Source organism: Homo sapiens, chromosome 2 (assembly GCF_000001405.40).
Source record: "Homo sapiens chromosome 2, GRCh38.p14 Primary Assembly".
Taxonomy (NCBI): Eukaryota; Metazoa; Chordata; class Mammalia; order Primates; family Hominidae; genus Homo; species Homo sapiens.
In genome coordinates this window covers 66,228,538-66,251,136 of record NC_000002.12, presented here as the reverse complement: position 1 = coordinate 66,251,136, position 22,599 = coordinate 66,228,538, and the positions used below count along the sequence as shown (strand labels likewise).

Sequence of the window (22,599 nt, the reverse complement as noted above, 5' to 3'; positions counted from 1 at the left end):
ACTCTGTCTTAAACTGTACTTTAGTATACTTTGCCTTTGAGTTGTGATTTTTTTTTCTTGCAAAAAAGCATATATTTTCAACTCATTTGTTTTTCATAGCTAAAGCAGGTCGCTTTGTCTTTAAATGAACATTCTCTTGAATGGAAACTAAAGGATGCTTTTCACTTAGCAAGCCTATTCATGATGAATCATTTCTGTTCACTCTGACATTGCAGAGGACGATTCTCAGGTAGGAAGAGAGAGACACTTCTATTACCCATTAGTTAGCTGACTGGTTTACAGAGATCAACTTCACCACAGAGGTTTCAAATGTTTCTTCTAGAAGAAGAACACGAGCCACCAGAGTAATGGATTGCTGGTTCCTTGGAGGTCCTTCCTTGGACTCAGTTAGAGGAGAGGGATCAGGAGGGACCTTTCCAGTGGGGCACTGGAGCCAGTTAGCACCAGCTTGTGAGAGCCCTTTGTGTACACCTCTTTCCAATTCTGTGTTTGGTGACATCATATTAGTAGCTTGACATTGGCCATGGTAGGAGTATGTTTACCACAGAAATTTGCAAGCACTAGAAATCAGAGCTTTGTTTTTTGGAGAATCTGCTGTGAAACATTTACCAGAACATCATCAGGCTCATCCCCCGTGGCCTAATGGGCCTTCAGGACTGTTCTGGGTACTTGGTAGTTCTTGTTCCACTCTCTTTTCAGTCCAGAACTTTAAAGGGGAGAAAAAAAAATCCCATCATCGACATAAACTATCACATATAAAGTATGATTCATGTGGTTGGGTTTCAGCAATGTTAAGATTAGGCAGTATTTATTAGGAGAAATAAAAGATTTTGCAATATTAATGTTTAAGTCTAACACAGAGGTTGGCTGTATGGTGATAGTTTCCCAAAATGTTTTCCTAAATACATCCATGTCCTACACAGGACAGAGAAGCACATTCAAAACATTTTAATGAAGAAAAAAGATGCATGTCATTTGGCAATGATTATTGCTGTGGACGGAAATGTTCTTCACCAATAATTATTTCTACATCATATCCATTTTGCAGTAAATTGGGCATTAGAGTCTCAGGGTTCCACAATTAACTAAAGTTCCCTATAGGCTCCAGACACATCATTTAACCCATTTGCACTTAGGTAGCCTGGCTCACATTGTGTTTCACTTAGGGTTCTGTGGTTGTAGGCAACAGAACTTAACTTAAGCAGAAAAGACATTTACTGGTTGATTATTGGATGGTTCAAATAACTGATAGGAAGGTTGGAGAACCAGGCTCTGAGAGGGACTGGAACCTGGGCATTAGCACAAACCAGTCACTTTCTTGGTTGTGCACAACCACTGGGAAGGAAGCAGCCACAGTCATTTGTCTCCTCTTGCTATTGCACAGCCTGTTTAAGATTCAATGTCCTGGGTGGGACAGAGTCAGATTGGGCCAGGTGGGAGCTTGGGAGGGACAGGGACACAGCATCTTCACTTAAAACAAGGGAAAGGCAATTCCCCAAAAGAGAATCAGGAAGCATTACCAAAATATTGAAAAACAGACACAGTATGGTCAACCTCCTCCTCCTTATTACCACAACAGCATTCACTGCAGAGGATGAGAAATCATAGTCTGCTTCCAAACAAATAATTGGTAAAGCAACATGGCTGTTTATTTCACCTGGGTGCAGGCGGGCTGAGTCCAAAAAGAGAGTCAGCAAAGGGAGATAAAGGTGGGGCCGTTTTATAGGATTTGGGTAGGTAAAGGAAAATTACAGTCAAAGGGGGTTTGTTCTCTGGCGGGCAGGAGTGGGGGTCGCAAGGTGCTCAGTGGGGGTGTTTTTGAGTGAGAATGAGCCAGGAAAAGGACTTTCATAAGGTAATGTCATCACTTAAGGCAAGGACTGGCCGTTTACACTTCTTTTGTGGTGGAATGTCATCAGTCAAGGTGGGGCAGGGCATATTCACTTCTTTTGTGATTCTTCAGTTACTTCAGGCCATCTGGGTGTATACGTGCAAGTCACAGGGGATGCGATGGCTTGGCTTGGGCTCAGAGGCCTGACATTCCTGCCTTCTTATATTAATAAGAAAAATAAAACAAAATAGTGTTGAAGTGTTGGGGCAGTGAAAATTTTTGGGGGGTGGTATGGAGAGAGAATGGGCGATGTTTCTCAGGGCTGCTTCAAGCGGGATTAGGGGCGGCGTGGGAACCTAGAGCGGGAGAGATTAAGCTGAAGGGAGGTCTTGTGGTAAGGGGTGATATTGTGGGGTTGTTAGAAGAAACATTTGTCATATAGAATGATTGGTGATGGCCTGGATACGGTTTTGTATGAATTGAAAAACTAAATGGAATAAGAGAAGGAGAAAAACAGGTATAAAAGGTAGATATCAGCTGTGATGGCTTGGAGAAACAGTGTAAACCAGCAGTGTAAACAAGAGCAGGGCATGTATGAGTAGTTGAGAACAGTGAATAGGAGTATGACTAGAAAAAAGATAGTAGGGATGACAAGTTTTTTTGGGGCACAGTCTAAGTTGGTCTGGTGTCGAATGAGACTGGGGCCTAATAAAAAGGAGCGTCTATACAGGAGCTTAAATGGGCTGTGCCTTGTAGCATTCTGAGGACAGGCCTGAATTCTGAGAAGCGAAAGTGGTAAAAGTATTGTCCAGTCCTTTTTAAGTTGGTGGCTGAGCTTGGCGAGGTGTGTTTTTAAAAGACCTTTAGTCCGTTCTACTTTTCTTGAAGACTGAGGACTGTAAGGGATATAAAGGTTTCACTGAATACTAAGAGCCTGAAAAACTGCTTGGCTGATTTGACTAATAAAGGCCGGTCTGTTATCAGACTGTATAGAGGTGGGAAGGCTAAACTGAGGAATTATGTCTGACAGAAGGGAAGAAATGACTGTGGTGGCCTTCTCAGACCCTGTAGGAAAGGCCTTTACTTATTCAGTGAAAGTGTCTATTTAGACTAAGAGGTATTTTAGTTTCCTGACTCCGGACATGTTGAGTAAAGCTGATTTGCCAGTCCTGGGTGGGGGCAAATCCTCAAGCTTGATGTGTAGGGAAGGGAGGGGGCTTGAATAATCCAGGAGTAGTAGTAGAATAGCAGATGGAACACTGAGGAGTTATTTCCTTGAGGATAGATTTCCACGATGGAAAGGAAATGAGAGGTTCTGAGAGGTGGGCTAGTGGCTTGTACTATAGCATAGCCTGCCTTTGGTGGTGTGAGGCGATTAGGCCTGGTGGAACTGCCATCAATAAATCAAGCATGATCAGGGTGAGGAACAGGAAAGAAGGAAATATAGGGAAATGGGGTGAATATCAGGTGGATCAGAGACATACAGTCATGGGGGTCAGGTGTGGTATCAGGAATAATGTGGGAGGCCAGATTGAAGTCTGGGCCAGGAACAATGGTAATTGTGGGACTTAACAAAGAGTGAGTACAGCTGAAGGAGCCAGGAAGCAGAAAGTATATGCATCAGGTATGAGGAAGAAAATAGATTTTGGAAGTTATGGAACTGTAGAGAGTGAGTTGAGCATAGTTTGTGATTTTGAGGGCCTCTAAAAGTATTAAAGCAGCGGCAGCCACTGCACGCAGACATGAGGGCTAGGCTAAAACAGTAAGGTCAAGTTGTTTGGACAGAAAGGCTACAGGGTGCGGTCCTGGCTCTTGTGTAAGAATTCTGACCGCACTAACCATACCTAGGAAGGAAAGGAGTTGTTGTTTTGTAGAAGGTGCTTGGGTTTGAGAGATCAGTCGGACACGATTGGCAGGGAGAGCACGTGTGTTTTTATGAGAATTATGCCGAGATAGGTAACAGATGAGGAAGAAATTTGGGCTTGACTGAAGTAATGGGGGCTGTCTATAAAGCCTTGCGGCAGTACAGCCTTGGTAATTTGCTGGGCCTAATGGGTGTCAGGGTCAGTCTAAGTGAAAGCGAAGAGGCTGGGACGAGGGGTGAAGGGGAATAGTGAAAAAAGCATCTTTAAGATCAAGCACGGAATCGTGAGTTGTGGAGGAAGGTATTGAGGACAAAAGAGTGTACAGGTTGGGCACCACAGGGTGGATAGGCAAAACAATTTGGTTGATAAGACGCAGATCCTGAACTAATCTGTAAGACTTGTCTGGTTTTAGGACAGGTAAAATGGAGGAATCCTAAGGAGAGTTTATAGGCTTTAAAAGGCCATGTTGTAGCAGGCGAGTGATAACAGGCTTTAATCTTTTTAAAGTGTGCTGTGGGATGGGATATTGGCGTTGAGTGGGGTAAGGGTGATTAGGTTTTAATGAGATGGTAAGGGGTGCATGATCGGTCGCCAAGGAGGGAGTAGAGGTATCTTATACTTGTGGGTTAAGGTGGGGGAATACAAGAGGAGGAAGCAAAGGAGGCTTTGGATTGGGAAGAAGGGCATCAATGAGATGCAGCTATAGTCCAGGAATAGTCAGGGAAGCAGATAATTTGGTTAAAATATCTCGGCCTAATAAGGGAACTGGGCAGGTGGAGATAATTAAAAAAGAGTGCATAAAAGAGTGTTGTTTAAGTTGGCACCAGAGTTGGGGAGTTTTAAGAGGCTTAGAAGCCTGGCTGTCGATACCCACAACAGTTATGGAGGCAAGGGAAACAGGCCCTTGAAAAGAAGGTAATGTGGAGTGGGTAGCCTCCATATTGATTAAGAAGAGGACGGACTTACCTTCCACTGTGAGAGTTACCTAAAGCTCGGCATCCGTGATGGTCTACAGGGCTTCCCAGGCGATCAGGCAGCGTCAGTCTTCAGCCGGTAAGCCAAGAAGGAGTCAGTCAGAGAGCCTTGGGCCAGAGTTCCAGGGGCTCTGGGAGTGGCTGCCAGGTAAGTTGAATAGTCTGATCTCCAGTGGGGTCCTGCACAGATGGGACGCGGCTTAGGAGGAATCCTGGGCTGCAGGCATTCCTTGGCCTGGTGGCCAGATTTCTGGCACTTGTAGCAAGCTCCTTGGGGAGGAGGTTCTGGAGGAACGCCTGGCCACTGTAGTTCAGGCGTTTGGAAGTTCTTGTGTGCTGGAGATGTGGCTGGGGTTTGTCTCGCAGTGGAGGCAAGGAATTGCAACTTTTTTTTTTTATTATTGTACACCTTGAAGGTGAGGTTAATTAAGTCCTGTTGTGGGGTTTGAGGGCCAGATTCTAATTTTTGGAGTTTTATTTAATGTCGGGAGCAGATTGAGTAATAAAATGTATACTGAGAATAAGATGGCCTTTTGACCTTTTAGGGTCTAGGGCTGTAAAGCGTCTCAGGGTTGCCGCCGAATGAGCCATGAACTGGGCTGGGTTTTTATATTTGATGAAAAAGAGCCTAAAAGCTATCAGATTTGGGATAAAGAAAAAGGAGCATTAACCTTGACTATGCCTTTGGCTCCAGCCACCTTTTTAAGAGTAAATTGCTGGGCAGGTGGGGGAGGGCTAGTCACAGAACGAAACTGTAAGCCCAACCAGGTGTGAGGAGGGGAGGCGATAAAAAGATTACAGGGTGGAGGAGCGGAGGCTGAGGAAGAATTGGGACCTAGCTTGGGCTGGTGAGGAGGGGAGAGGTCAGATGGGTCTGTAGAAAAGGAAGATTAAAAAGACTCAGCGATACTTGGGGTTGGGACTGAGGGGACAGCCGGGAGGGAAAGAAGGAAGATTTGGGACGAGTTGCACTGGGCACAGAGACTAGGAAGGGACTGATGTGTAAAAGAATGCCTGGACGTCAGGCACCTCAGACCATTTGCCTATTTTACGACAAGAATTATTTAGATCTTGTAGGATGGAAAAATTGAAAGTGCCGTTTTCCGGCCATTTGGAACTACTGTCGAGTTTGTATTGTGGTCAAGCGGCATTGCAGAAGAAAATAAGGCATTTATAGGTCAGGTGTGTGTTGAAGAGGTTTTAAGTTTTTGAGAACACAGGCTAAGGGAGAAGAAGGAGGAACGGAAGGTGGAAGCTTACCCATAGTGAAGGAGGCAAGCCCAGAGAAAAGAGTAGAGACATGGAGAAGGGGTGGGGGGTTCTTGCCCTCCAGAAAAGCAGAGAAGGGGTTGGAGCACGGAAATAAGGGATTGGGGCACAGATAAGAGGTCAGGGTGCAGAAATAAGGGATTGGGGCACAGAGATAAGAGGTTGGGGTGCGGAAATAAGCGACTGGGGGGTTCTTGCCCCCTAGGAAAGCGGGACTTGCCGCTAAGGGTGAAGGAGAAGGGGTTGAGGGGTATTTGCCCCTGCCCCAGAAAAGCGGGACTTGCCGCTAAGGGTGAAGGAGAAGGGGTTGAGGGGTACTTACCCCTCTCCCAGAAAAGCAGAGAAGGAGTAGAGACAAGGAGAGAAGGGGTTGGGGTATTTGCCCCTTCCCCAGAAAAGCGGAACTTGCCGCTAAGGGTGAAGGACCAAGGCAGGCGTCCCTGCATGGTCTGACACCTTTGAAAAGTGGGTGAACAATCAGAGGCGTCCCTGTAATGATTAAACACCAAGGGAAGGCTGCCTTCCCAGTCCGTGACTGGCGTGGGAGTTTTGGGTCCACGGATAAAACGTGTCTCCTTTGTCTCTACCAGAAAATGAAAGGAATTGAAATTAAGAGAAGGAAGAGATTGAAGTGTGGCATCAAGATTGAAAGGAGAAAGAGGTTGTGGGATAGTGAGGGAAGCTGGAGAAGAGAGTAAAAAGAGGCCACTTACCGGAATTGAAATTGGTGAGATGTTTCTTGGGCTGGTCGGTCTGAGGACCTGAGGTCGTAGGTGGATCTTTCTCACAGAGCAAAGAGCAGGAGGACAGGGGATTGATCTCCCAAGGGAGGTCCCCCAATCCCAGTCACGGCACCAAATTTCATGCACGTCCGTGTGAAGAGACCACCAAACAGGCTTTGTGTGAGCAAGATGGCTGTTTATTTCACCTGGGTGCAGGCGGGCTGAGTCCGAAAAGAGAGTCAGTGAAGGGAGATAAGGGTGGGGCCGTTTTATAGGATTTGGGGAGGTAAAGGAAAATTACAGTCAAAGGGGGTTTGTTCTCTGGCAGGCAGGAGTGGGGGTCGCAAGGTGCTCAGTGGGGGAGCTTCTGAACCAGGATGAGCCAGGAAAAGGACTTTCACAAGGTAATGTCATCACTTAAGGCAAGGACCGGCCATTTACACTTCTTTTGTGGTGGAATGTCATCAGTTAAGGTGGGGCAGGGCATATACTTCTTTTGTGATTCTTCAGTTACTTCAGGCCATGTGGGCATATACGTGCAAGTCACAGGGCATGCGATGGCTTCGCTTGGGCTCAGAGGCCTGACAGTGATAGTTTCCCAAAATGTTTTCCTAAATACATCCATGTCCTACACAGGACAGAGAAGCACATTCAAAACATTTTAATGAAGAAAAAAGATGCATGTCATTTGGCAATGATTATTGCTGTGGACGGAAATGTTCTTCACCAATAATTATTTCTACATCATATCCATTTTGCAGTAAATTGGGCATTAGAGTTTCAGGGTTCCACAATTAACTAAAATTCCCTATAGGCTCCAGACACATCATTTAACCCATTTGCACTTAGGTAGCCTGGCTCACATTGTGTTTCACTTAGGGTTCTGTGGTTTTAGGCAACAGAACTTAAGCAGAAAAGACATTTACTGGTTGATATTGGATGGTTCAAAGAACTGATAGGAAGGTTGGAGAACCAGGCTCTGAGAGGGACTGGAACCTGGGCATTAGCACAAACCAGTCACTTTCTTGGTTGTGCACAACCACTGGGAAGGAAGCAGCCACAGTCATTTGTCTCCTCTTGCTATTGCACAGCCTGTTTAAGATTCAATGTCCTGGGTGGGACAAAGTCAGATTGGGCCAGGTGGGAGCTTGGGAGGGACAGGGACACAGCATCTTCACTTAAAACAAGGGAAAGGCAATTCCCCAAAAGAGAATCAGGAAGCATTACCAAAATATTGAAAAACAGACACAGTATGGTCAACCTCCTCCTCCTTATTACCACAACAGCATTCACTGCAGAGGATGAGAAATCATAGTCTGCTTCCAAACAAATAATTGGTAAAGCGTTTTGAACTTCTGTTGTGAAGTTCTGAACACCTCAATTACTGATGAGTCATGTAGTCTTGAGCAAGTTTTTGTTTTTACCTTGAAACTAAAAAGTCTGAGTCAAATTTATGCTTCATGTATGGAAGTCTGTGAGCTTATATTAGCTCCATTGCTGGTTCCATTTTATATTTTTATGCTGGTGTTTTCTCCTTTGCTTTATGTCCACTTCTAATTTATGTAATGTTGCTAAATTTTATATATCCTTCTAAGCTGCCTAGGATCCTTCCAACAAGGCAGTCTATAAATAAATAGATGCATACAATCATTTCTTAGGATTCTTTTCTAATTTTAATGTCCTATTGTTCTCATTCAGAAAAATCAGATATTTGAGTGAACAGAATATATTCTTTTAAACTCAAATATAATATTAGATCGCCCTGTCTTGATTGATACCTACTCAAACACAGAGCTGATTTTAAATCTCTTTACTTAAATTCACATGCAGAGGAAAGCAATGCCATAGAAGAGGAATGGTAATTATTTCCCTAGAGAACAATAATTTTGCAATAAATTTCAAAAACAGCATGATTTAGCAAATTAAGCTTAGAGCCAAGGATATTAAATAGAGTTAACTTTGTAGAAATAAATTCTGATACCACAGGCTTCAAACATTACTTTAAATGTGTTCATTTGGAAAAAAAAACTAGTGAAAGGGCCCTGAAGGCCTAGGTTTGGGATGTTGGATTTTGTTTTTAAGGGTGGGAAGAGTGAAATTTTTTTACACCAGGCAGGATATAATGAATATATGTGTATATGTGCACTTTATTTTGATATTAATAGACTGCTGAGTAAGCAATACTGATAGCAACACCACCTTCAAAGGAAACTTGTACTTTCCAGCCATGCTTCTGTGCTTTGGCAACTCCATATGGAAACAGTATTTCTTTGATCTTATATTTAGTACTGATATTGTTTATGTTTAAATGTTAAAAATAACTCTTTAAAGCAACATATCCTAAAGTTAATTAGAAAGGCACATTCTCACCTTTTAGAAGAGTTTAAAAGAAATCTTGGGCCACCTTTGCTTGGCGTACACTTAGCTGCAATGCCTGAGAGGCTTGATGTGAGTGGCAATTCCTTATAAAAACCTTCCCTTTCAATGCTCTCCTCTATTCATGTGCTCTAGACTGTTGAATTGCTACTTTGACTTCTTTTTTCTTTTCTTGGCCAGTATTTACTCAAGGGAATTATCAGAACATGGATCTTAAAAAAGAAGAAGAAAACGGAGAAATGAAAAAAAAAAAAAAAAAAAAAGACACACCACCAGCATACGTGCACTCATATCCCTATCTAGCAATCATCTAGCTACCAATCAATCAATTTACCTCTCCATGTATCTGATACATGCTGTCTTTTTCTCTGCTTTAATCTGGAGGAATAATTCACAAATGGAAATTCAGAAACTGGCCCTCTCTTGCTTAAGTTAGATGCATTCTTCTTAAAGTGCTGATGTTGGTCTATTGTCAGACTACAGTGCACTCTCTCATTAATATTAACCATTTCCTCTAAAAAGTCTTGCCCTTTGACTCTCTCTGTTTTAAGGAGCCATTATTTTTATAGTTGTTTCTAAGTCACCATCAAAGAATTCTAAGATCTTTGAAGCACGAACATACAGGAAATCAACATTATCAGTTCCCTGGCCTCTGCTGGTATTGTGAAGTAATTTTTGAAACTTGGAAATATTACGATCGGGTCCATCTATCTAAGTGGAGGTAAATTCTACCCTAGAAATGTATTTCGCTGAAGAGTTGGGTATATGGTTGCCAATGTTGCTCTGATACTGTACTGGTGATTATGAGAAAAGCCTATCTAAATGACTATATGTGTCTGTGCACCTGTGTTGCTATAGATAACATATGTTCTAGAAAACTGAGACTGTGTAACTGTGTGTGGCTAACTTAATCTAATGTAGTTGAGAATAAAAAATTTCTTCTTAATCTATTTATTGGTTGGTAGTCAGGCTAGTTGCTGATAGGTGGGGATGGGGAAGGCTGGTAGTGTTTTGCTTTTGTTTTGCTTTCTGGTGATAATGGTAAATAAGTGACTGTGTGGCTTAGTAATCAGAGATAACTATTCATAAAAGTGTCCAGTTGAATGCTTTCTTTGATTGCTGCTGATCAATCAAATCTCTTTAGTCTAACCCTGGACTTTAAACCCAAACTCACTCCAAAATTGCTTCTACAATACCACATGCGGCAGATCTGTGATCTTGCCAAACCACCTGAAAAGAATTATTTTTCTTGCACACCAAAAATAATCGTCGGTTCTTTAAAGTGCAGACGGTAGAAGTCTTGAATAATTAAAACCTTTTCTACACCTTGGTAGCACTCCCAAAGGTTAAATATGTTTCTGTTCTAACATCTACAGGATAATTATGGGAAAGGGAATGAGTTTCTTCTGTGAAAAGACATGGAAACCAAGTAGTTATTTGTGCCTGCAAATCCTTTTGGGTCTAAAGAATCAGCAAGATAATAAATTGTTTTGCTAAAAACAGGAAGTTTGGCAAAGATGCAAAAGTACAGCTAAACTTTGGCCAGGCAACCCAAAACATTGTGTTCTTCTTTGAAAGTATTTCCAGCAAGAAAAAAGTGGAGTGCCTGGAATACATAGTTTAAGAAACGGTGAAGGCATCTGGCAACATGAAATGCTTGCCAAACTTGTGGTTGTGCTGTGCTTGCTGATGGAAAGATGTGCCAGTTTACAGTGAAGTATGTCATGCACAGCTGGAAACCCACGCATAAATGAGACCCCAAGTGCTGTGAAGACCGAAAAATTTGAGCAAATGTTTCCCTTTTCTCCCCTTCATCGAACCTGTAAAAAATATTAAATACAAGGATGGATTTGGAGTTTAGATAGGGAAAAAGCCAACTTCAGATTTCTCAGGGAAACCTGTTTCTGGGCAGGAGCATTCAATCAGTCAGACACATTCTGGAAGGTGTTAGTTTCCCCTCCCCCTTCCCTTGAAATTCTTTATCCTCATTGTTGCCAGCTTTATTAATATGACTGTGATTATGTGGCATCTGTTTTGGACATAGCCGATTGGACTGTAATTTCCACTTTGGTCCATCAGTCTGGAAAGACTTCAAAATGTGAGCCAAAAAAATATATATAAAGAAATTAACCCAGGACGCCTGAGAAGATGGGTATTGTGCTTCTGTCAGTTCGAACTGCAGGGAACACTGGGATGTCTTGATTGGAGGAGAATGTGCTGGAGAAGGGGAGCTTCTCAGACTCGCAGGGCCTCTTCCAGCTGGCAAGGTCAATGGGACTCCTTTTGTTCTTGTTCTGCACCGGGTGATTTGGCTTGCAGTTTTGAACTTGGGATTCCGGAGAGGAAATCCCAATTTTAGTTCTTATTTGGAACTGGAAGCAATGGTCCATCTCTGTCGGTTTCTCCTCTGAGTAGTGGGAGAAGGATGCAGAGCATCTAGAAGTCAGGGATGCATTGGCACCTGCACCCAGAGCCAGGAGCAAATGCAGAAGCAATCGGCCCCTTGCTTATTTCTTAAGAGATGGGCTTTCTTCTCTGGTCACTGTTTTCTCTCTGCCTACTCTTAGATGCTTGGTTTAACCTTTGAGGCACCTCTTGATTATAATTTCCAACTATTTTCTTTTGGGGGGAAAAACAGGGAGGTGGCCAGCAGCCTAGTGCAGTGATGGAGTGAGGTTGCGGACTCTGTCAGTAAGTCCTAATAACAGTAATTTCCTCAAAGACATGTTGAGAAGCATAGATGAGTGGATGTAAGTAAGGCCTGGGCTACAATCTTGGACTGAGCTGCTCCATATGTGATCAACAAATGCTGGCTGTTATGGGGATGGGGAGAGCCACAGTGTGATTTCCCCCCAGCAGCCAGGGAGGAATGCTCTTGCTTTTTTTCCAGCATAAATTTGTTCTTTTTAGGGATAAATGTTCTGAGATTATCATATTTAAAAAACACAAAAATATATTATGTTTATTTGCTGATTATAAAATAATTGAATATTTATTTTAGAGAATTTGAGGGAGAAATGACACATAAGAATAACCTTTTATTTACTACCTAGAAATAACTACTACCCATAGGTCAACATAGTTCCCTCCAGTCTTTTTTCTATGATTTTGTTTTGAATTATGAAATTGAAACACTATCATATACCCTACGCATTTTACCATATGTTATTTTATAAACATTTTCCCACTTCATTAAGTATTATCTTTTAAGTGCCTAAAAATGTTATTTTAAACGGCTTATAAGATTCTATTTTATGGATAGTCTTATTGAGATGAAAGTTTTTCCTCTTTTTAAAAACGTCATGGTCAACATCTTTGTCTGCATGTGTATTTCCTTAGGACAGAATTATTGGATTAAAAAGAAGTATTTTTTAGAGCTCTTAATAAGTGATGGTTAGAGAGATTTACTTTCCTTAGAAAGGGTGGAGCAAGAATCAGGGAACACTGGCCAAAGCCGACTGGGAGTCAAAGTGGCTATATTTACTATATCTATACTACATCTGTGTATCTCTACCCTATATATATCTGTACCCTAGTGTGTGTATAGATACATACATTTAGTGTGTAGATATAGTGTGTGTGTGTACATGTATATTGAATAAGGAAAGAGGGGAGGAAAATTCTGCTTCTTTCCCACTCCTACCCCACTCACCTTGGATTGGTTTTGATCTCCAGTGGGAAGGAGTAAGGCTAGAAGTTGAAGGAGGTGACTTTAGGGCTGACTTAGTGATTCAGTGGGCATAAGGAATACTGCCTGGGAGACCAGACTAGAGGAGGAGCTGGGTGGAGGAGACAGCTGTTCTGCCACTTTTGCCTGGAGCCTCACTCCACGCTTGCCCCTTGAGGACTGACAGCTTAGGCTGCTCCAGCAAACAGCATCTTGCCTAGACATGACTGTTTTCATGGTTAGCGGCTGGCACTAGTGAAAACTGCGAAACTTCTTTGGCGGCTTGAGAATGGAGTTCCAGAAAAGAAGGAAGCTGGTGCAGTAAGAAACGCATAGAGCAGATGCCAGGGGTGAAAGCTCCCAGCAGGTTGGCATACTAGTGCTTATGAGATAACCCTGGCCCCAAATCAAAACTTATTAGGGTTGTTGCAGAAACTGGACTTCCTGTTCAAGCCTGTGGTGACTTTCACTAGTGAGAGGTGGGTTTAACCGCTAGTGTGACTTTGTGCCCACAGCCTAGCTGAGCTGGGGGTTGTTGGCTTTTACATATGCAGGGCCCTATTCAATGAGGTATAAAAAATGGAGCAGGAGCTGAGAAAAAGGGGAAAATGTGATTAAAGGGGAAAAAAAGAAGCCATGCAAATCTAAAGAAACCAGAGCCTGGAGCCAAGGGGGGTTATTTAGAGTTATAGAATGTGCAGGCAAAAAGGAACAATAAAGGTCTTCCACTAAAATCCTAGTTTTGCACAGGAGGCAGCTGTGGCCTGGAGGAGTTGTCGCTTCCTCCAGGTCATGTGTGAGTCAGTCTGATACAGCCGAGAAGCACATCAGGCAGGGCTCCTTCCACTACCTCACGCTGCCTCTCTTCCTCTGGGTGCCTTTAATGAGGGGTCAGTGCTTACTGGTTGCTCCCCAGGGAAACCTCTCAGGAAGGGGCTTCTGTGTTAGGTGAGTGCTGTCCTGCCTGGGTTTAGGATCCCCCAGGGAGCTTCCCGCAGTCATGATGCCCAAGCCGTACCCAGGACCACTGAGATGTGAATCTCTGAGAATGGAATCCTGCCTTCAGCATAGTGTCAAGCTCCCCAGGGGATTCCAGTGGCAGCCAGGGTCCAGGACACGTCAGAGGCACGTCAGTGGCACGTCAGTGTGCTCAGCGGCGGGGTCCTGGGGCCTGGTTTGTATATAGATTTGGCGGCTTTGTGACCCGTACCACTGGCCTGTCTGTTAAACAGTGATTACAGTTTATCTTTTCAAAGTCAGTGGGCAGGACCTACTGCTCTCTGAAGTACCTCTCAATTCTAGAACCTGAAAGTCCAAGTAAAAAGAAATAAACATTGTACTAGAATAGCGCCTTTTTTTTTTTTTTTTTCTTTTTGAGATGGAGTCTCCCTCTGACGCTCGGGCTGGAGTGCAGTGGTGTGATCTCGGCTCAGTGCAACCTCCGCCTCCCAGATTCAAGCAATTCTTCTGCCTCAGCCTTCTGAGAAGCTTGTACTACAAGCACTAGCCACCATGCCCTGCTAAATTGTTTGTATTTTTAGTAGAGATGGGGTTTCACCATGTTGGTCAGGCGGGTCTGGAACTCCAGACCTCAAATGATCTGCCTGCCTTGGCCTCCCAAAATGCTGGGATTACAGGCGTGAGCCACCACGCCCTACCTAGAAGAGCTTTAATTAAGCACACCTTTTCTTTATCTTGTCATTCTTTCTCTTGACTTTTCTGCCTCAAAGATTCCCAGAACCTCTTCATAACTCCTCAAAGAAATGAAAGTGTATTGGATTGCCTTGAAATCACTGTAAAGCTAAACAGCTGTCTGGCATTTTGGGTTGACTGTGGCGTGGGGCCCTTACTCACTTGGGATAGAGCACTCCTTGCTCTCAGGGTTCTCAACAAGCCCCGTCACGCTGCCCACAGCCTCACAAGACCTGGTTTTGGAAACACCAGCGTAATGCTTATGAAGTCACACCCCATGAGATTTGGTCTTGAAGTGTTACGGCTGAAAGAACACAGTCCATGCAATCAGAAGTAATTTCAAAATAAATCAAGCCCTCGACTTGAACTTCTCAAATGCCGTGTGTGGATGGAAAACTTGGGCCCCCACACTTCTCACATGTTCCCTTTTACCCCCCCCCCCTCAGTCCATTGCTCCTGCATTCTGGGACTGCTTTCCAAAAACCCTCCTCCAGAGTACAGTAGTCAAGAATCTCCTCTCAGAAGGCAGGACCGACTACACAGGGCTGAAGGAGGCAAACACCCTCAAGGCTGAGTGTGCGGAATTACCTTGTAGATGCCAAGGGGAGGAAAAGGTGAGGGCACACATGTGCTAGTTATTGTTATCCCTTTATACAGAAACCCTTGTGAGGCAGTTTGAGCTCTAGACAGGTCATGATTGGGAGCTTTGGGGTGCTGCAGAGAGACCAAGATGCGGAGAGTGTGTATGGGTGTTGGCTGTTTGGAAGCAGAGAGCTGCCCTGGTGACATCTTGAGATTCTGTCCTACTGGGGACTCCTCTTCCCCTCACTTTTCACGTATGGAAAGTTTATTTGGAAGCATCTCACCTTGGGCTCTCAAAGTAGAATATCACTGTCTTCAAACACAGCTGGCTATAAAATCCAAGTTCCATTAGGCTCACTGACTACAGTTTTTTTGGTGACGACTTTAGAAACAGAGGCCGGGTGAACTTGGTTTAATGTTTCCTGAAAGCAGGAAGAGAGTTCTCTTTTTTCCTCGTTTATTTATTGCACAAATTTTCTTGTTCTTTGGCACTTGGGATCAAGGCTGAGGAGCCCCAGAGAAAGCTCCATTGCCATGACGTCATTTTATGGACAGAAAGTTCCATTCTCCTCCTCTGCAAGTGTTGTAGCCTGACATGGGGCCAGGCTAGGAAGAATGCTGCGAGCCCTCTTTGGAGTGACACGGACTGTATGGATCATCAGCAGACACACTTTATGTAAAGGAGAAGGAGCTGTTGAAGCGTCTTGAAAACCTACTGAATTGCTGAGCAGGAGAGTATGTACTAAAGCAGATCCTAAGAATACTAATTATTCAGATATGGACACTGAGCCATTGGTGCCTATTTTATTCACTCTATGTGTGTGTGTGTGTGTGTGTGTGTGTGTGTTTCACATTGCCAGGGATTTGCTCTTCTCCCTGTCCTACTGACAGTATGTTGGGCTGAACCCCTATTCACCTCAATAGGGAAGGTACTAGGTTCAAGAGGCCGAAGAGGAGACCTAGAGCCAGCAAACAAGACATGAGGTTTTACTAGGGGCTCACATACAGAGGAAAGAGTCCAGTGGCAGCTGGCTGGATAATGTATCCACCTTACCTATGATCCAGTGGCAGCAGGCTGGACAAGATATCTGCATGGCCCAACGGCAGTGGGCTGGACAAGAAAACTGCAGCCACTGGCAAACAGCATGCAGTTTATATAGCATTTTCACTTGACACCCTCCCCTTAACCACCTACACCTAGCAACCTTCATCCAACCCAAAACTCAGGGCCTCAGTTCCCTGTGTGGCCTATCTTCCATAGGACAGGTGGGAGACTCAGATGTTCCTTATAGACAAGGAATGAATCTCTGGGTTGGCCACTCCCAGATCCCTGAGCTCAGGGCACACATTCAGGTACATCTGCTATGCAGGCTCATTTTAAGGGTATGCTTAAGTTATGCTATCTAGTGCATTTAACCACCATAGCAGCCTCAGCATTGGGGGAGGAATCCCAGGATTTGGAAAATTATTTATGGAGGCCCAAAGCCAGTGGCCACAGGGACTGAAGGGACCAGGAAATTGTTATCCCAGAAAGACCTGTTCTCTATTAGGCAAATCTCTCAGTGAAATGGGGGAAAAGATAGGTTTCAGAGCCAGAATGATCTGGGCTCATGTGATTCATTAAACATGTACATTTGGGCCTCTAAGTTTTTGCATCGGTATAAGATGCTGTTGTGCTGGATCCCTGTTGAGTTCAACAGGAATGACACCATGTTCAAGAGGCCAAAGACCTAGAGCCAGCAAAAGAGACATAGGGTTTATTGAGGGGACTTACATACAGGGTGGTTCAGTGGCAGCAGACTGGACGAAACAATCACTCCTATTTGTAAAAAGCATGCAGTTTATGTAACATTTTCACTTAGCACTCTCCCCATAGCAACCTCCACCTGGCAACCTTCATTTAACCCAAAACAAAGGGCCTTGATCTCCTGTACAACCTGCATTCCAAGGGATAGGCCAGCAGTTCAGATGTTCCTCATAGATAGAAAATGAATCTCTGGGTTGGCCACTCCTGGATTCCTTAGCTCAAGACTCTGAACACACATTCTTCTCAGACCATAGGGTCATTTTCAGGGTGTGCTTAAGGGAAGTTATTGCTGTCAGGTGTGTCTGGCATACAGGTTAATAATTCTCAGGTAATGCCGAAGTCTTTGCTGTCAGGTGCATCTGCCATCCAGATGCATATTACTGATTTTTCCTACCTTATTTAATCATTGGAGGAGTAAATGAGAAAACATTCCTAGTATGTCTGGCATGGTGCCTGGCTCATAGTAGATGCACAATAAACTCCACATTTCCTCCTTCCTCAAATACACATAGGCACACACCTGGAATAATACTTCAAGGGAGTTTTTTCAAAGAATCCATTACTTTTGTTCGAGTCACCAGTTCCTAGCCAGCAGAGATGAGTCTACAGAGCTGAGCTCTTTCCAAAATATGGATGAATGTTTAATCTCTAAATAAATAAATGAGTGTTAGTTGCTTTCATTTTGGGGGAGCTAAGGAAGGGAAAAGCTTATTCCTGCCCTCACTGAGTGTAGAGTGAAGCTGGGAAGACAAGATGCATGCAGTGTCACATTCAGAGATGAGGTATAAAGACATTCGAGTCTTGTCACTGTCTGGTTTAATTATTAAGCCTCCCAAATATGCCATCAACCACTCAAAGGCATCTAGTTCCTGCTCTCCTCTTGAGTGGGTCCATGCGTAGCCCCTCTCTCTCTCCACGTGACTTGGCAGCTGGTAGTAACATCACCATTATAGCTCTTCCCTCAGACACCCCACACCAGTCCCACTACAGGCTCACTTCTGACTCCCCAATTGCTCCTGGTTTTGCTATAGCCAATCCCTGAAGAGCCTGGGACTAAGGATTCCACCCTGCAAGGGCTCCAGGGCTCTGGCTGCTCCACTGAGCACTGTCATTTTCCCTTTCCCCCAAGAAGAAGATGCTACAGGCAGCATCTGTTTCAACTATCCTTAAACAGTGATGTTAGTGATTACCAGCTCAGACTTTGGAGCCAGAATGGGTGAGTTCAAATCCTACTTTTTCACCTCTTATGACTTTTGTTAAATTAATAGTGAAGCCTCAGTTGCCATGTCTGGAAAATTGGAGCTAATAAGTTTGTACCCTCCTCATTTTGAGGACCAAGTGAGATGATCTACACTTAGTGTAGCACATAGGCTATTAGGAAATGTTTTCTGTTATTACACAACAGTTGCAGTTTTGGGGTGTTGAGTGTGTGCTTGATTTATTGCCAGAGTCAAGGTCAGTGGTCCTTTTTCACCTGACCTTCCTCTCCACCTCTCTCTGTGTCCCAAGATGGGACATAGGATTTTCAACTCGGCTCTGCATTTGCTACTTTTCTCCTTCTGGAATCCCTTCCTTTCTTACCAAGGCTTTGCCATAGCTCTCAAATTCCTATGTTAGTTGGAGACTCTTAATCCTAGCTTCTAGGAATCCTACTATCAGGCTTAAAATATTCAACATTGTTTCTTCTAAATAGCTTGGGGTCTTTCACACAGCTAAGGAGCTAGTGGAGGCTGCTTGACACTTCAGAGGTTCAAAATAGATGCAAAGATCAGGCTCCCTGGAGACCTTTACTGAAGCCAACAAGGGGAGCCATTTGGTCACAAGAATGATGCAAATGATAAATGCTCTTGGAGTTTTTAGCTCAGAGAAAGCTTTTGACTCTGTAAGGTGGATACCAATTTATAACCATCAAGAGCTTGAGCTACATCAGCTGTGGCCTCAGAGGAATGACTCTTGGTTGCTATTTTCTAATTATAAAATGGGCACACCTGGGAATGATGATTCTGACTAGAGAAATCTTCAAACATGGGCTACAAGGCAATTCTTTGCACTGAATCCCAGATGGGGAAGAACAGAGGGCACGGATAGGAAGAATTTCGCAGTTCCACAGAGAATTAGAAATGTCAGTCAGAAAAAGGGAAAAGCGTTCCTAGAAAAACAAAGAGAACAAAAGTGGAGAAGAATGAAATGGAGAGCAGAGGAGTAAGAGGACAGAGAGGAAAGAAACATGAAAAAACCAAAGCGGCTATTTAACATAATGAAGAAAGGTGAATCCAAGATTGCAGAAGAAAGCTTGTTCAGATCTCTTAGATTAAGCAACTTCAATCAGTTGCAAAGCACAATGAGCATCTTAAAAGCATCTTGTCTCAAGTGGTTTTGTTTTTGGTTTTTGACACTTAGCAGTAGTTTTTAACACTGAACTAAAGCATATAGGTGAGCATATATGCAGAGCATAACCATCCTAGAAATGACATCACAGGCTTCCAGTTTAGAGCCTTGCTCCCAAGACACTCAGATTTCAATGTGATGAAAATGAGAGTTTGCTTGATTCTCCACTATGATCTCATCTTTGACCTACAATGGCACTTTCGGGAATGACTACCATAGCTTTCCTTCTGCCATATTACAAGATAAGACTGATTTGCTTATGGAAAGTGATTTAAAAATATATCATTGATCTTGGAAATCTTTTAAAGTCTATGACATTTCTTGGCTCAGCAAGGTCAATTTTTGTTCCAGTTTCTAAAGAAAAGCTCTATCTCTAAAGGGTTGATTGATTTATTTCAAATAGCAACATTATTCCTTCTTGTACCTATAAACCATCTTTGTTTTAAATTTAGTTTTCTAAGGTCTTCAAACTGATGGGACCCATAAGAAAGAGCATCAATCTTTCGTCTATAATTCCTTTGGATGGCCTTAAATCTACCACGTGCTCCAATGGTCCTGATAATGAGTAATGTCACATTGCCCCAGGTTTGATTGGGCACTTGCTTGGAGCCCTGTAGAGTAACTTGTACCATTTTTCTTTTCCAGACAAGAGAGAAGATAAGAAGCTACTGTAAGACTCAGCCTAGTGTCTGGCATTTCCTTGGGATGATTTTAAATCTAATGTATAAATATGGAATACAAATAACAAAGTCATTATTAGGCCACTTGCTTAAATGACAGAAGATTAGTAACTGAAGGACAATGATGTTAAGCAGTGGTTTGGATGTTGAGAGTTTGATTCCTTCAGGGTTCCTGGGCCTTTGCCTGCATACCCTCCACAGTTCCTCCCAATGCTTCTCCTTCCTCTTGACCCACAAACAGGGCATCTTGGAAACAGGGAATTCCTCCCAGACTTTTGTACATCGACGGTTGCATGAGAGGCCAAAACTCCATCCCCTAAGATGATGGTTGTGACCTTGATTTGCTTCTTAACCTGTATCCAAGATGCCTCCTGCCTGGGAGAGGTAAAACAATACTTCTTATTGCCCATGTGATTTGGATATGTCAAGGAACCTCCTTGAGACTCAGATGGTTTTTAGTTGTTTCTTTCTGTGAAATGGGGTGGTTGGGAGGATTTGGTGACCACGTATAAAAGGGCTTTATAAATTATAAATGCTCTATCGAGAGGTTGGGGGCAGACCGGCTCCTAACTGTGTGAAGTCTGAGGGAAGAGCAGAAACAAAGGCTCACATACACATCTGAATTTCAAAAAGTTATAAAAACTGCCAAGTAAACACTTCAATCTTTCTGCCTTGACAAGACACCTTATAAAGAACTGAAAGGCTGAATTTAAATGTAGAATTTTTTGACTTCTTGTAGCCCTATGCTGCAGTGTGACTTGCCTCCCCACACCTCTTCCCTACTTTTTCTCTCCTGCCACAAAGGCCCTGGGTTCACAGGTGCAGGCATCACAGTCCATGGTTCAAGTTCTGCCTCCTCCCCCTCCAAGCAGCTACTTCTTGGCTACCTCCTCACCCCCATGGCCTAGAAGTGTTCCAGGACCCACAACAGGGAGCTTGGAGTGGGCGTGTTTATGATGCACATGATGAACCATTGGGCTTTTTCTTTTCTTTGACATGGAGCTAAAATTTGTAATTGTCAAGATTTCAGGGCCATCGTTTTGAGTTATAAGAAGTGAGTATCTTGAGACCATTATCCTATAGCATTTTCCTAGCCTAAATGACCATTTACCAAAGAGATTTAATAGCCTAAGAATAAATTTTGTCTTTGTAATTTTATTTTTTTATACTTCTGCAGTTCTGAAATCAAGTTTACTTTCTCTGACCTTTTCTTTCTTTTCACAGTTTTGGTTTTTATTTTAAACAAGCTACAGTCAAGAAATAGAATTGAGATTTGTTATAGTCTCAATGCAAAATACTATCCACTGATGTGTGCTTTTGCTATCGGTTATTATATTTAGTTAATAAATAGCTCTGAAAATACATACAAAGTTTTTGGTACAATGTTAAATTTCCCCGGAGACTGTTCATTCCCTTATCAAATATTTAAGTGGCTTCCACTGCATGGTGGGATGGTTTAAGATCCAAAAGGTACAGATAGACAGCTATGGATAAAAGTATTAATCTGACTCAATTGAACCTTTGACTACTACAGGGGGAAATATCATCACTGTTAGTAAGAATCGGAATGTTGGTTTTTAACTGGTGGTTACAGTTTAGAAAATGAAAGATCATTTTGAATTCCTCTTTTAAGCTGTTTTACCTTGATAATATCAGTCCCTTGCCCACTTACATGGTATTTGGATGCTTACTCTAACAATAAGTCCTAATATGAAATAGCACAAACTAAGACATGAGTCTTGGGGTCTCCTATGGGAGCTCTGTGGCAAGTTCATAATCATGATTCTGAGTAGGTGAGGATGAAGCATCATTGGGTCTAAGGGTGAGAATTAAGGAGACACACTTGGCTATGACTAGGGGGAATCCTATGTGGTAGCCACTGGCTAACCAGCTGGATGCTTTTTAAAGGAAGGGCTTGAGGTATTGCTCACCAAATATTGTAGGCTAGCCTATAGAAGTCAGAAAAGGCTAGGGTGAAACCAGAAATGGGTTTCAGAGTTATCCAGCAGGCTCCACATCAGCTCACTGGTATTAGAAATTTCACCAAAAGAGCTTAAACCATTTAAATTTAAGGCTTTGCTATCTATTAATTGTACTTATCTTTTCTGGTCAGAAGTTTGAGAACCAGGACGGACACATGAATGCCACTGCTTTGTCACAGCTGTTTTGTCACCGAGGATCTTGCATGACACCAATAAAACAGCTAATTTTAAATAGGGTAATTATTTTGCTTGATTCTATGCTAAGTCCTCCACAGGCATATTTTAGCCCTTATAATATCCTATGAAATAGTATTATTTTATCTAGTACACAGAAGAGAAAAGGCACAAGATGTTAAATAACTTTGCCCGAGATCACAGCACTGTGAGATAGTGGGACTGAGCTTCAAATGTGGACAGTGAGTTCAGACAGGAATCTATCATTTTGATCTCTGTTAATACCTCATTTACAGAACTGAGGATTTTGGACTTCTACAGGGTTTGGTATGTAGACCTGAGCTGATCTTCCCTAGATATATGGGACCAGGAGACCCAGCTAATGCCTTTTTTATCCTTGTTAATAAGCAGAAATAAAAGGGTAAAATTTGGATTGATTTCTAGGAGGCAATATATCCAGAGTTCTGGTGGGGGAGGCTCTGAAGTTGAGGTCCAAAGGAACCAAACAATCCCCCCAAATCTTCCATAATCCAAAGGCTGCAGGAAAGGAAATGATTGCCACTCTGTGTTAAGAACTCAGGCCCCTGGTT

At 43.1% G+C, this 22,599-nt stretch overlaps 4 annotated features.

Annotated features, from left to right (window-relative positions):
• Nucleotides 889-1,811: an enhancer, noted in NCBI's record as "OCT4-NANOG-H3K27ac hESC enhancer chr2:66476458-66477380 (GRCh37/hg19 assembly coordinates)". NCBI's record gives its function as "activates a minimal SCP1, AML or CMV promoter by ChIP-STARR-seq in naive H9 embryonic stem cells {active_cell/tissue: H9 hESC(naive)}" and the evidence as "EXISTENCE:reporter gene assay evidence [ECO:0000049][PMID:30033119]".
• Nucleotides 1,812-2,735: an enhancer, noted in NCBI's record as "OCT4-NANOG-H3K27ac hESC enhancer chr2:66475534-66476457 (GRCh37/hg19 assembly coordinates)". NCBI's record gives its function as "activates a minimal SCP1, AML or CMV promoter by ChIP-STARR-seq in naive H9 embryonic stem cells {active_cell/tissue: H9 hESC(naive)}" and the evidence as "EXISTENCE:reporter gene assay evidence [ECO:0000049][PMID:30033119]".
• Nucleotides 5,463-6,408: an enhancer, noted in NCBI's record as "H3K27ac hESC enhancer chr2:66471861-66472806 (GRCh37/hg19 assembly coordinates)". NCBI's record gives its function as "activates a minimal SCP1, AML or CMV promoter by ChIP-STARR-seq in naive H9 embryonic stem cells {active_cell/tissue: H9 hESC(naive)}" and the evidence as "EXISTENCE:reporter gene assay evidence [ECO:0000049][PMID:30033119]".
• Nucleotides 6,409-7,354: an enhancer, noted in NCBI's record as "OCT4-NANOG-H3K27ac hESC enhancer chr2:66470915-66471860 (GRCh37/hg19 assembly coordinates)". NCBI's record gives its function as "activates a minimal SCP1, AML or CMV promoter by ChIP-STARR-seq in naive H9 embryonic stem cells {active_cell/tissue: H9 hESC(naive)}" and the evidence as "EXISTENCE:reporter gene assay evidence [ECO:0000049][PMID:30033119]".